The 13,233-nt window shown below is 56.5% G+C and overlaps 1 protein-coding gene across 4 annotated transcripts, besides 4 other annotated features; it reads right to left on the minus strand.

Moving 5' to 3' along the window:
• Positions 156 to 662: an enhancer, noted in NCBI's record as "H3K27ac-H3K4me1 hESC enhancer chr17:39956106-39956612 (GRCh37/hg19 assembly coordinates)". NCBI's record gives its function as "activates a minimal SCP1, AML or CMV promoter by ChIP-STARR-seq in naive H9 embryonic stem cells {active_cell/tissue: H9 hESC(naive)}" and the evidence as "EXISTENCE:reporter gene assay evidence [ECO:0000049][PMID:30033119]".
• Positions 663 to 1,169: an enhancer, noted in NCBI's record as "H3K27ac-H3K4me1 hESC enhancer chr17:39956613-39957119 (GRCh37/hg19 assembly coordinates)". NCBI's record gives its function as "activates a minimal SCP1, AML or CMV promoter by ChIP-STARR-seq in naive H9 embryonic stem cells {active_cell/tissue: H9 hESC(naive)}" and the evidence as "EXISTENCE:reporter gene assay evidence [ECO:0000049][PMID:30033119]".
• Positions 2,255 to 12,251, minus strand: P3H4 (prolyl 3-hydroxylase family member 4 (inactive)). Of its 4 annotated transcripts, none has more exons than NM_006455.3 (8): positions 11,756 to 12,251; positions 11,434 to 11,586; positions 11,165 to 11,336; positions 10,008 to 10,136; positions 8,161 to 8,306; positions 7,098 to 7,181; positions 3,589 to 3,733; positions 2,255 to 3,281 (listed from the first exon to the last, which is right to left on the minus strand). In NM_006455.3, exons 1-8 carry the CDS (start codon positions 12,215 to 12,217, stop codon positions 3,259 to 3,261), a joined length of 1,314 nt encoding a protein of 437 aa, NP_006446.1. In that variant the 5' UTR covers positions 12,218 to 12,251; the 3' UTR covers positions 2,255 to 3,258. The 4 variants fall into 4 exon arrangements, with proteins under 4 accessions (NP_006446.1, XP_047291093.1, XP_006721703.2 ...); XM_047435137.1 differs by having other exon boundaries at positions 10,982 to 11,336; XM_006721640.5 differs by lacking the exon at positions 3,589 to 3,733.
• Positions 11,881 to 12,370: a silencer, noted in NCBI's record as "silent region_8500". NCBI's record gives its function as "represses an Ori minimal core promoter by ATAC-STARR-seq in GM12878 lymphoblastoid cells {active_cell/tissue: GM12878}" and the evidence as "EXISTENCE:reporter gene assay evidence [ECO:0000049][PMID:35858748]".
• Positions 12,511 to 12,620: an enhancer, noted in NCBI's record as "active region_12172". NCBI's record gives its function as "activates an Ori minimal core promoter by ATAC-STARR-seq in GM12878 lymphoblastoid cells {active_cell/tissue: GM12878}" and the evidence as "EXISTENCE:reporter gene assay evidence [ECO:0000049][PMID:35858748]".

The following is a 13,233-nucleotide window of genomic DNA, read 5'->3' on the forward strand; positions in this document are numbered from 1 at the left end:
ACGCCACTCTCAGATGCGCACTTGCACAGCTACCAACACACCTCAACTGCAACCCCTCAGCTCTCAGATCCTTTTCCCACCTCCATATATGCCATACCTATCTAATTCATACATTCTGACATTTATTGTTTTCTGCCTGCCTCCCTGCTGGAATGTAAGCCCATGTGGGTCCGGCGTTTGGCCTGATCTGTTCATTTTTCTATGCCCAGCACCTCAGCATGCCTGGCACATGGTAGGTGCTCAATAAATATGTGCTGATTGAGTGAATGAATCCCTCTAAAAACACATTTATTCCCAGTACTTTGGAAGGCCGAGGTGGGTGGATCACCTGAGGTCAGGAGTTTGAGACCAGCCTGGCCAACATAGTGAAACCCCGTCTCTACTAAAAATACAAAAACTAGCCAGGCGGGGTGGCTCACGCCTATAATCTCAGTACTTTGGGAGGCCAAGGCGAGTGGATTGCCTGAGGTCAGGAGTTCAAGACCAGCCTGGCCAACATGGCGAAACCCCATCTCTACTAAAAATATAAAAATTAGCCGGGCACAGTGGCGCATGCCTGTAATCCCAGCTATTTGGGAGGCTGAGGCAGGAGAATTGCTTGAATCTGGGAGGCGGAGGTTGCAGTGAGCGAGGATATGCCACTGCACTCCAGCCTGGGCAACAGAGTGAGACACTGTCTCAAAACAAAAACAAAACAAAACAGAACAAAAAAAAACCCCAAAAAATTAGCCAGGTGTGGTGGCAGGTGCCTGTAATCCCAGCTACTTGGGAGGCTGAGGCAGAAAACAGCTTGAACCCAGGAGGCAGAGGTTGTAGTGAGCTGAGATCACGCTACTGCACTCCAGCCTGGGCGACAGAGCAAGACTCTGTCTCAAAAAAAAAAAAAGAAAAGAAAAAAAAAAACCACATTCATGCATGCACGCAGGCAGGCACACATTCACACCCAGACCCGCACATTCACGCAACACACAAGCACACGGGCACTTTCAGACCCACACCCAGCCGTCCAGATTCCAAAGCTTGTGCTCATGGCAGGTTCACGTCTGCGCAGACACGCCACAGCACATCCCGCTCCCCACCCTCTGAAGGGCCAGCCCCTCCCAGAAACAGGGGCTGGGCCTTGGTGGACCTGACAACACTGCAGCTTGAAAGAGGTGGGGTGGGGCGGGGCCACCCTGCACCTGGAGGCGGTCAGGAAACGCTACCACTGCAGATGTGCTTCCCCGGAAGACCCACCTATGGGAGGAAGGAGTGAGGTCACTGAGCCCCCAGCCTTGACCCAGCCCTTTTTCCAGACTCAGACTCTGCCCTTTCAGCTCTCATCCCGATCAAAGGCCTAGGGGAGGGGCTTGGAGTGGGACAGGGAGTCCTCCTAGGAACAGAGGTGGACAGGGCCCAGGCCAGATCACCTGGCACATCTGGAGAGAAAGTAGGGGTGGGGCAGTGAGAACTTGGCTTCCCAGCCTTGACTCTACCTTCAAGTGGGAAGACAACTCTGCCGCCCTGCCCCCGGGAGGCTGGAAATATGGGGCAGAACTGTCACCTGGCTGGCCTTGGCCCTGGGTTCCTCCCAGACAGACCCCCTTTGCCCCCACCTCCCTGCTGTGGAATAGGGGTGGGGTTTGGCGGTGAGTCCCAGGCTAGGAGGTAGCCACCAGGCACCATCGTTGCCTGCACACCCTGCACACCGGGACCCACTGCCCCTGGGAGCCCATGTAAAATCGGTCAAGAGGGATCTGGCTGTCCCACTGCACCCCAAGAATCCCAAAGTAATCAAACCACATCCCTGGGGCTCCTCTGCCTGCTAAGCTGGGGCCCCAACCCGGCTCTGGAATGTGGGAATAGAGGGCAGCGGCAGGGCCAGCTCCCTCTGACTCTAAGGAAACTGGGTCAGTAAATGCCCACAAAGTAAACACTAGGAGCAAATGTCCTTGGCCCCCTCCCACACTTGCCACATTCCCCGAGGGAAGTGATCCTGAACTAGGAAAATACAGGACTTCCCATCTTAGAAATCTGAAACCATCGTCTTCCCGCCTGGGGAGGACTGTGTTCTCCCGCCCCCTGGTGGCAGATCTGCACACTGCGTCCTCTCTCACACATCCTTCAGCCCCAGGTGCAGAGGACCAGCCAGGGCCCAGATGGTGCCCCTCCGCCCCACATTTTACAGATGAGGGGACACAGGTGCGGAGAGAGGGAGGGAAGGACCTGTACCCTTACAACTGAGCTCCAGGGAGACGACCACGGGTACTATGACTCATTCAACAACAAACATTTATTGAGCACCTACTGGTCAGGGCCCTGGAACCACTAGACTCTTAGTCCAGTGCTCTTCAGGACCCTGGAGGACCCTCTGCAATTTGGCCTGAGACTCCAGCCAGCAGCTGGAAACTCCTTGTCCAGGAGACTGTCCAGGTGAGGAGCTCAGCAGTGAGGAGGGCGGACCCCATCAGCCCACTTGCCAACCTGCAATGCCACCACCATCCTGTGGTCCAGAGACATAGAAGTGGCAGGATGGGTCTGGGGTGCAGCACCCATGGGTGAGGCAGGATGGGGGTCCAGTCAGCTGTGTCCATCTTAAGTTTTTTTTTTTTTTTTTGAGATGGAGTCTCACTCTGTCGCCCAGGCTGGAGTGCAGTGGCACGATCTCGGCTCACTGCAAGCTCCGCCTCCTGGGTTCAGGCGATTCTCCTGCCTCAGCTACGATTACAGGTGTGTGCCACCATGCCTGGCTAATTTTTGTATTTTTTAGTAGAGATGGGGTTTCACCATGTTGGCCAGGCTGGTCTTGAACTCCTGACCTCAAGTGATCGGCCTCTCAGTGCTGGGATTACAGGCGTGAGCCACCGTGCCGGCCCGTCTTGTTTTTTTTTAAAGATGGAGTCTCGCTCTGTCGCCCAGGCTGGAGTGCGGTGGCGCAATCTCAGTTCACTGCAACCTTTGCCTCCCAGGTTCAAGCGATTCTCCTGCCTCAGCCTCTTGAGTAGCTGGGATTTCAGGCGCCTGCCACCACACCCGGCTAATTTATGTATTTTAGTAGAGACGGAGGTCTCATCATGTTGGCCAGGCTGGTCTTGAACTCCTGGCCTCAAGTGATCCACCCACCTTGGCCTCCCAAAATGCTGGGATTACAGGTGTGAGCCACCGCACCTGGCCCATCTTAAGTTTTTAATAAATAGTTCTTGCTGCTGCCCAGGCTGGTGAGGGTGGGGCCATCGGCACCAGGCTTCCCAAGCTTGAGCGGTGTGGGGTGTCCCCTTCTCATGCGAGTTCAGGCTCTGGCTCTGAAAAGGAAAGGAGAAAGCACTGGGGTTGCTCCCCCACCCACTCCCAATGGGTGTCCAGGTGCTGTCCTGATGGGAGGTGGGGTGAGGCTCCCCCGGACAGGTCTCAGCTGGTCCCAGCTCCAGGGGAGATGCTGCACCACCACCCCCAAGCGGGACAGGGGTTGCCAACAGGCTGGAGGCCCCTGGAGGATGGGCCCCAGCACCCACACACACCCTGGGCTCCGGAGCCCAGCGGGTGAATGCATCTGTCCCCAACCTCCATCCCAGGCTGCATCCCCACCCCCCAAGGACTCGTGTCACTGACCAGCCTCGGCCTCGTCACCCTTGGCATCCGGCTCCTGCCACCAGTCAGCATACATGCCCTCCTCGTAGTCACCCTCCCCCTCAAACTCGGCGTCAGATAGGGCATCCTCAGGCTCCAGGGGCGGTTCTGTCTCCTCCAGCTCCATCTAGAGTAGCGCCACGGTTGTGGGAGAAACCGGGTCACAGTACGCCCAAACCCATATGGGCTCCCTTCCTGGCCAATGGGACTTCCCATCCCATCTCTCGGTCCCCAAAGCCCCTCCCCCTCCCCAGTCTCAAGATCTAATGAGACAGTCCTGAGGATTTTTCCCAAACTGCCCCTCCCTGAGTGGCTGCATAGGGCACCACCAGCAGAATTTGGTGTCAGCATAAACATCGCCCCTGCACAGCCCCACCTTTTAAGCATAAAGACCCTGGCAAGAATATTGCTAGTCCATGCATAATATTTGCTCATACTGTTTCCCTGCCAGGAACTACTGCTGTCCCCTGTGCCTGCGTAGCCCGCACTAATCCCTCCAAAGCCAGGCATCAGTTCCAGGCTGAGCCCTTGCTGGTGACTCTGGCTGGGCTGGAGACCTCCCCTGGTGCCGTGTGCTGCCCTCTCCAGCAGCAGTTTGTGCTTCCCCCACTAGACTGTGAGCGGCACGTGAAAGGGACCATGACTTCCTTTTTTTTTTTTTTTTTTGAGACGGAGTCTGCTCTGTTGCCCAGGCTGGAGTGCAGTGGCATGATCTCGGCTCACTGCAAGCTCTGCCTCCTGGGTTCACGCCATTCTCCTGCCTCAGCCTCCCCAGCAGCTGGGAATATAGGCGCATGCCGCCACTCCTGGCTAATTTTTTGCATTTTTAGTAGAGACCGGGTTTCACCGTGTTAGCCAGGATGGTCTCAATCTTCTGACCTCGTGATCCGCCCGCCTTGGCCTCCCAAAGTGCTGGGATTACAGGTGTGAGCCACCGTGCCCCGCCAGGACCATGACTTTCACTAACTTACTCCAGCCCCTAGTCTGGTGTCTGGCAAACCACAGGAAATAAGAGACAGCCGTCAAAATGGCTGCCATACGCCAGGCGTGGTGGCTCACACCTGTAATCCCAGCACTTTGGGAGGCTGAGGTCGGTGGATCATTTGAGGTCAGGAGTTCAAGACCAGCCTGGTCAACATGGTGAAACCCCATGTCTCTACTAAAAATACAAAAATTAGCTGGGTATGGTGGCACACGCCTGTAATCCCAGCTACTCAGGAGGCTGAGGCAGGAGAATCGCTTGAACCTGGGAGGCGGAAGTTGCAATGAGCTGAGACTGCACCACTGCACTCCAGCCTGGATGACAGAGTGAGACTCGGCTGTCATTCACTGTGCACCTACCAGGTACTGGCTCTTTATCAAGTGCTTTACATACTTGATCTCAGCCAGGAGCGGTGGCTCACGCCTGTAAACCTAGCACTTTGGGAGGCCGAGGCAAGCGGACCACTTGAGGTCAGGAGTTTGAGACCAGCCTGGCCAACGTGGTGAAACCCTGTCTCTACTACAAATACAAAATAAAATTGGCTGGACATGGTGGCGCATGACTGTAATCCCAGCTACTCGGAGGCTGAGACAGGAGGATCTCTTCAACCCAAGAGGTGGAGGTTGCAGTGAGCAGAGATCGCACCACTGCACTCCAGCCTGGGTGACAGAGTGAGATTCTGTCTCCAAGAAAAAAAAAAGAAAAATGCATACTTGAGGCCGGGTGTGGTGGCTCACACCTGTAATCCCAGCACTCTGGGAGGCCGAGGTGGGTGGATCACAAGGTCAGGAGATCGAGACCATACGGGGTAACATAGTGAAACCCCATCTCTACTAAATATACAAAAAAAATTAGCCGGGCGTGGTGGCAGGCGCCTGTGGTCCCAGCTACTTGGGAGGCTGAGGTAGGAGAATGGCGTGAGAACCTGGGAGGCGGAGCTTGCAGTGAGCTGAGATCACGCCACTGCACTCCAGCATGGGCGACAGAGCGAGACTCTGTCTCAAAAACAAACAAACAAAAAAACATACTTGATCTCACTTAATTCTTTCTCTTTTTTCGAGACAGAGTCTCAATCTGTCACCCAGGCTGGAGTACAGTGGCGCGATCTCGGCTCACTGCAACCTCTGCCTCTGGTTCAAGCCATTCTCCTGCCTCAGCCTCCCCAGTAGCTGGGATTACAGGTGCCCACCACCACACCTGAGTAATTTTTGTATTTTTAATAGAGACAGGGTTTCACTATGTTGGCCAGGCTCGTCTTGAACTCCTGATCTCAGGTGATCCCTCTGCCTCGGCCTCCCAAATTGCTGGGATTACAGGCATGAGCTACCATACCCGGCCAGATCTTGTGTTATTCTCACCACAACAATGTGAGATGGGCATGATTCTCCCCATTCAATGGATGAAGAAACAGAAGCTTGAGAGGTTGCCTGACACTTGTTTGGAGGCCACCCAACTGGTAAGTAATGGAGCCAGGTCTGGCTAGTTCCTCATCCTGGGTGCTGACGGTGTAGATTCTGCCCTCCTCCTCTGGGGTTGGATGGGTGGGGGCGTGGGGGCATGAACAAAGGAGAGGATACATAAATGAGCACTGAGCAGCAACACCTCAGAGAAATTAAGGCTGTCAAACCCTCACTTGAAATCAATGTTAATAGGGCCGGGTGCGGCTGCTCACGCCTGTAATCCCAGCACTTTGGGAGACCGAGGCAGATAGATCATGAGGTCACGAGGTCGAGACCAGCCTGACCAACACGGTGAAACACTGTCTCTACTAAAAATACAAAAATTAGCCAGGCGTGGTGGTGCACGCCTGTAATCCCAGCTACTCCGGAGGCTGAGGCAGGAGCATCGTGTGAACCCGGGAGGCAGAGGTTTCAGTGAGCTGAGATGACACCACTGCACTCCAGCCTGGGCGGCAGAGCGAGACTCCATCTCAAAAAAAAAAAATAAATAAATAAATAAAATAAATCAATGTAATACAATACGGTCCTTCTGTCCTGAGGTCCTGCATTCATTCATTCACTGGTTCATTCAAACTCAGTTTCTGAGCCCAGGCTCTGTGCAGGATGTGGGAGAACAGGGAATAATGTGGCCCTGTGTCCTGCAGTGCGGTTCTCCTGGATACTGGCTGGAGAAGGGGCCCAGGGCTGAGATGGACGAGGGCTGCAATCACCCAGGTCCAGGCCACAGGTGGCCAGGGAGGCACACAGGTCAGAGTGGGCACTGCTAGCCCAGAACAAAGAGCCAGGGCATGCAGCAAGGGCTTCCTGGAGGAGGCACCATGTGAGCTGGGCCTGGGAGGAACAGGATTGAGACATGTACAAAAGGAGGACATGAGAATACTAAGGCTGGGGAAGGAACGGACAGTCTAGACAAGGAACAGGCAAACCTCTCTTCTTCACGACAGCTGACCACCAGGGGCTGGGGCTGAATTCTGGCACACTGGTGGCCCCAGGAAAAGGTCCAAGGTGTCCCCATCACAGCCCAATCCTGGAAAGCAGGAGGCACTCACCTCATCATCTGACTGCAGGTACATGTGGGTGAACTCCAGCAGCTCCCGCAGCTCGGCGGTCTGGTTGTGGTAGAGCATGGCCTCCTGGAAGGAGGGAAGGACGGGGTGGGGGGTGAGCCATACCCTGTTGCCAGATGGCAAGAAGCCAGGGCTCCTAGGATCTGGGCCCACTGGCCCTCTTCTAGCTCAAGGATCAGAGAATAGGTATCAGCTCACAAGCTCATCAGATCATCGTGGCTGCTTGGAACACTGGGTTAAGGATTCTGAGAGTTTGGTGACAAAGAGTCCCTCAATCGATTAGCAATGTCTGCCACTGACAAGGAAGGCAGGAGTGGCACCATGTGCCCCATATTTGCCAGCCTGGCCCTCAACTCCAACAGATTTCCTCCATTGGTTACCTAGGGTGTTCCTGGGAAAGAGGGACAAAGGTCAGCAGTGAGGGTAATGAAGGTAGGGAGGGGAGCAGGTAGGAGTGGATGTGTACCTTCATACCTCCCTCGTCTGGACACTGCTGGTGAGGTGGCAGTATCACTGCCATTTTGCAGGTGAGGCAATAGATTAGGAAAGGGCCATGGTCTTCCCAGGACCACACAGCAGTGGGGCTGGGCTCTGAAGCCAGGACTCTAACCTCAACTCATATTCTTTCTTTCCATTTCCCATCCTGCCTTCCATGGAAGCCAGGAGTTTATTTTTTATTATTTATTTATTTATTTTTCTTTTGAGACGGAGTCTCGCTCTGTCACCCAGACTGGAGTGCAGTGGCGCGATCTCCGCTCACTGCAAGCTCTGCCTCCCAGGTTCACGCCATTCTCCTGCCTCAGCTTCCCGAGTAGTTGGTACTACAGGCGTCCACCACCATGCCTGGCTAATTTTTTTTTCTTTTCAGTAGAGACGGGGTTTCACCGTGTTAGCCAGGATGGTCCTGATCTCCTGACCTCGTGATCCACCCGCCTCAGCCTCCCAAAGTGCTGGGATTACAGGCATGAGCCACCGCGCCCGGCCGCCAGGAGTTCATTTTTTACAAAGTGCATATCCAGCAAGTGCCCCAGAAAGCAGTGCCCACCTCCCGGGGCTGGAAGTCCTCCTCTTCCAGGCCCCAGCGAGCCCGGTGGAACCGGTAATACACCAGGTTCTGCTGCATGACGCTGTCCTTGGGGTCGAAGAGCATGTAGCTGGCGGCGCTGCGGGCAGCCTGGCGCACATCATTCACTGCAGCAGGACAGGGGTGAGGAATTGCTCTGGCACTTCCCCTTCAGAGTCAACTCCATCTTCCAGTTCAGTCCAGCACCCCTGCTACCCAGCCACCTCCCAGAATACCTAATGGGCTCCTTATCCCACCCAAGCATAATGCCAGCTAGCATGTAGTGGGCACTTACCCTATGCCAGGCCCTGACTAACTCATCTAAGCCTCACTGTTATTGTCTTTTTATTGTTTTTGAAACAGGGTCTCACTCTATCACCCTGGCTAGAGTGCAGTGGTGCAATTATGGTCACCTCAAGCTTGATCTCCCAGGCTTAGGTGATCCTCTCACCTCAGCCTCCTGAGTAGCTGGGATTACAAGCAGGCACCACCACACCCATCTAATTTTTTGTATGTTTTTGTTTGTTTTGAGACAGGGTCTTGTTCTGTCACCCAGGTTGGAGTGCAGTGGTGTGATCTCGGCTCACTACAGCCTCTGCCTCCTGGGCTCAAGCAATCCTCCCACCTCAGTCTCCCCAGTAGCTGGGACTACAGGCACGCGCCACCATGCCTGGCTAACTTTTTGTATTTTTTGTAGACACGGGGTCTTGTCATGTTGCCCAGGTTGGTCTCGAACTCCTGGGCTCAAGCCATCTGCCTGCCTGGGCCTCCCAAAGTGCTGGGATTACAAGTGTGAACCACTGTGCCCAGCCATGCCTACCTATTACTGTCATCCCCATTTTACAGTCAAGAAATCTGAGTCACAGAGAGGTTAGATAAATTGCTCAAGCTCACACAGCTGGAGAATGATGGCTCTAGTGAATTAGAGGCCCTTAGCCTCTCTGCTATGTGTACCCAGGAAGGGTCTCCTGGCCCCTGGGTTCTCAGCCCCTCTGCTCTGACTCCTGGCTCTGTCTGAATCTTGGCATCTCCGAGCTGCAGGAACACTGGAGGCTGTCCATTCCAGCCCCAGTGGATGCCAGGATCTCTCCAGTGAGGAGAGCCACAAGTCCTGGTGCCACTTTTTATTAGTCATAAGACCAACAGCCCCTTGCCCTATAAGCCTCAGTTTCCCCATCTGAAAAATCGGTCCAGTAATGCCAGCTGCATGGTGTTGGTGAAAGGACCACATAAGATAAAGTGACTTATAAACTCTCAAGTGTTGGCCGGTCATGGTGGCTCATGCCTATAATCCCAGCACTTTGGGAGGCTGAGGCAGTGGATCACCTGAGGTCAGGAGTTCAAGACCAGCCTGGCCAACATGGTGAAACCCCGTCTCTACTAAAAATACAAAAACTAGCTGGGTGTGGTGGCAGGCACCTATAATCCCAGCTACTCAGGAGGCTAAGAGAATCACTTGAATCCGGGAGGCAGCGGTTGCAGTGAGCCGAGATCGTGCCCCTGCACTCTAGCCTGGGCAAGAGTGAAACTCCGTTTCAAAAATAAAAATAAACTGTCAAGTGCTCTGCAGTTGTTGGTTGTCTAGTCATTTGCCCAAAAGACCCTCTTCTTCTCCCTGAGGCTGCTGTCTGTTCTCACTCAGAAGCCTCTCACCTGCCCCAGACTCCCAGGGTGCCTTCCCCATATTCCCACCACCCCTAGACTTTCCTCCTATCACCCAGGGTCCTCAATACTGAAGGAAAGCTCCCCACAACTCTGGGAGGCTCCCATACAGTCCTCTCCCTTATCACCTCGTCCCCTGCCCAAGCCAGCCCACCCAGGGGGCTCACACTTATAGTAGGCAAACTGCAGGTAGTGGTACATGGTGGCCACGAACTTGTCCACGAAGTAGCCACCCACATTGGGGGTCAAATTGGCCTCACAGTCCACCTTGCACTGCAGGGACTCTGCAAAGAGATCTGAGGGTGGGAGGCAGCAGTGAGAGGCTGGCATTGCAATGAACATCTCCGTCCCCCCAGTGGAGAAGACTCTAAATCCAATCTCTGCCTACTAAGCCAAGCTGCTTGTCCAGAAAATGTGTTGCTGTTGCAATCACAGGAGAGAATGTCTGTAAAGTGCTTGGCATACTATATGACAAGTGATGGTGAGGAAGATGACTGTGGGCTGGGCTGACTCACCACCCCTGCCACTCAACCACCACCCCAAGCCAGAGGGAGCCAGGGCATTCTGGGAGAGCAGCAGGTGAGGTCCAGAAATGGGGCAGAAGTCCAAACAGAGAAGCTAAAGGACAGTCTTTTTTTTTTTTTTTTTTTTTTGAGACAGAGTCTCGCCCTGTCGACCAGGCTGGAGTGCAGTGGCGCGATCTGGGCTCAATGCAACCTCCGCCTCCCAGGTTCAAGCGATTCTCCTGCCTCAGCCTCCCGAGTAGCTGGGATTACAGGTGCCCGCCACCACGACCAGCTAATTTTTGTACTTTCAGTAGAGACGGGGTTTCACCATGTTGGTCAGGCTGGTCTTGAACTCCTGACCTCGTGATCTGCCTGCCTCGGCCTCCCAGAGTGCTGAGATTACAGGTGTGAGCCACCACACCTGGCCAAGTACAGTCCTTTCTGCCCCTGCTCGAGGGACCCCAGGGTTAGAGATCCCAAGACTAGGTGTAATTTCTGGTTATCAACTGCTTTCTGCACACATCTGCTGGGTTACTTCTCACCGCTGCACCTTTGCATCTGCACTGCCCTCTGCCTGGAAGGCCTATGAACCCAAGCTTCCCAAACCCTTTAGGGATGTCACTGCCTCTACTCACTGATCCAGCCCCTTGGACACTCCCAGCTGGGGCCCCTGCACCCAGCGTCTTTCTCAACAGACAAGGCCTTCCTCCCGGCTGGCTCCTCCGCATTCGCAGTGCTCCACGTGCATGAAGGGGACATCTGCCTTACCGGGCCCTGTGGGTGAGAGGACCGCCCACCGTGGTCTGGGTGGCAGATACCTGCTATGGCCGGGTAGAAGTCCTTGAAGTCCACCTGCTCATGGGCCCCTTCACAGCCGGCCAGGCACCGGGCAAAGACTGCCAGGTACTCTGACAAGGCCCGCTCCATGTCCTCCGTGCTGCTGCGGAAATCCCCGCTGTTGTAGAGCTTCACAGCCCGGAGGAACACGGCCTGGAAGGGGCGTGGCAGGGGGAGTCAGGGCGCCCCCAACATCTCCCCTCCTCTACTAGCCCTCCTCTACAAGCCTCCTCCTGACCCTCCACCCCACCTCGTAGGGCTGGGCCTCTAGGTCCGTGAGGGACTCGTCGGCGACGTCCAGCATCCCCTGATAGTAGTTGAGATACTTGGCGGTCAGCTCGTGCTTCGGGTTCCTCTGGAGGAAGGTGTAGGCCGCCGCCACCGCCTTCTCCAGCCGGTTAGCCTGGTCGGGGGGTAGGGGGTGGGGGAGCGGGTCAGCAAGACCGGAGCTCGCGGCCCCGAGCGCACGGCGGGCTTCGTGCCTTGGGTGAAGATAACGCTCCTTCGACCGATCTGTGGGGAGCCACGACGCCCAGCCCGAGACAGGTCCCCGGGTGGGGGCGGGCTCCCACCTTGAACAGCGCGTAGTGCAGGTACTGGTAGGGCAGGCGGCTCTGGAAGTCACGCAGCAGCTGCCGCGGCGGGTAGGGCACCTGGAAGGCGGGCAGCGTCCGCTTGCAGCGCCGCAGGCAGGCGGCTCGCTCCAGGACGCGGCCGAAGAGCCGCAGCTCGCAGGCCCACTCGTCTGCGCGGCCGCCGTCGGGATCGGGCTTGGCCGCGGGCGCGGGGCCGCTGCAGTTGGCGTGGCAGAAGGCCTCGCTGTCGCGCAGGAGCCGGTGCAGCCGCAGCGCCGCCTCCAGGTAGCGCGCGCTCTCGCGCCAGCTCTCTCCCTCGTACTGCTCCAGAGCGTGCCCGTACGCCGCGGCCAGCGGCATCAGGTCCTCGGGCGGGAAGCCCCGGAAGCTGTACTTCTCGTACTGCGCCCCGGCGCTGCCCAGCAGCAACCACAGCAGCCCCCACGCCACCCGAGCCATGCCCGCCGCGCCGCCGGCTCTCCGGAGCTGAGCTGGCTGCCCCGCGGACGGAAGGGGACAGGGCCGGGCCCCGGGCGGGCGGCGCGCCCGCTGGGTCTTAGCGCCGGGCACGAGGCGGCAAGGTGGGGCGGGGCCTGGGTCACGACGTCTCCCCTCTTTTCCCAGAGGGTCCGATAGTGTCGTTAAGTCCTCTCCGTCGGCCCGGGCTCCTGCCTTGGGGGTGTCCCCTAGGTAGAGAATGCGTCGGGGAGCGCTTCCCGCCAGAGATGGGAAGCCCAGGAAGCCCCTCCCCATGCAAACAGTGCCCCCGCCTGAGATCAGGACACTGAGTGAGGGCCGCCTCCTCTGCGCTGCCCATACGAGAAGGAAGCCCTGGAGCCGGGCCTTCCGTCGCTGCGCCCTCCTGCACCCTCCGAGTGTCTCCCCCGCCCACGTCGGAGGCACACACCTGCTGTCACCTGCACACCTTGCGCTGCCACCACCCCCCACTCCATCTCCGTGCCCGTCACATCCCAAGTCACAAAGTCCTTCTTTCAGTCCAGCTTTTGCGGGACCAAGCTGCTCTTCCCTGGAGATGCCTTCCCTTGGAGTACAGCTGGGGTCACGGATGAGCACGGAGATGCCTCTCACACTCCGCGGCTTCACCACCCACCTGGAGGGGACTAGAATTCGAAGTGCCCGCGAAAGAAGCAAGGTTCATCTCCGCCCGGCTTTAGGACCCGGGGGCTCCGGAAAAAGTCATTGAACTTTTTTTTTTTTTTTTCCTTTGGTGTCCACTCAGAGTTCTCATCTTTCCCGAGCCTCTCTCCCTGGCCAGGCCCCAGGTCTCGCAGCCAGGGATGGAGATGGGGGGAGGGGGAACCTAGAGTTCTTTGTAGTGCCTCCCTCAGACTCTAACACACTCAGCCTGGCCCCCTCCTCCTATTGCAACCCCCTCCCCCGCTCCTCCCGGCCAGGCCAGCTCAGTCTTCCCAGCCCCCATTCCACGTGGACCAGCCAGGGCGGGGGTAGGGAAA

The sequence above is a fragment of the Homo sapiens genome, chromosome 17, assembly GCF_000001405.40.
Source record: "Homo sapiens chromosome 17, GRCh38.p14 Primary Assembly".
In the NCBI taxonomy this organism is placed as follows: Eukaryota; Metazoa; Chordata; class Mammalia; order Primates; family Hominidae; genus Homo; species Homo sapiens.

Coding starts and splice junctions, on each gene's coding strand:
- P3H4 (XM_047435137.1), bottom strand. CDS start 12,217: ATGGCTCGGGTGGCGTGGGGGCTGCTGTGGTTGCTGCTGGGCAGCGCC. Junction 11,587..11,755: donor TGCACTACGCGCTGTTCAAG/GTGGGAGCCCGC, acceptor CCCCCCGACCAG/GCTAACCGGCTGGAGAAGGC. Junction 10,137..10,981: donor GTGTCCAAGGGGCTGGATCA/GTGAGTAGAGGC, acceptor TCCCACCCTCAG/ATCTCTTTGCAGAGTCCCTG.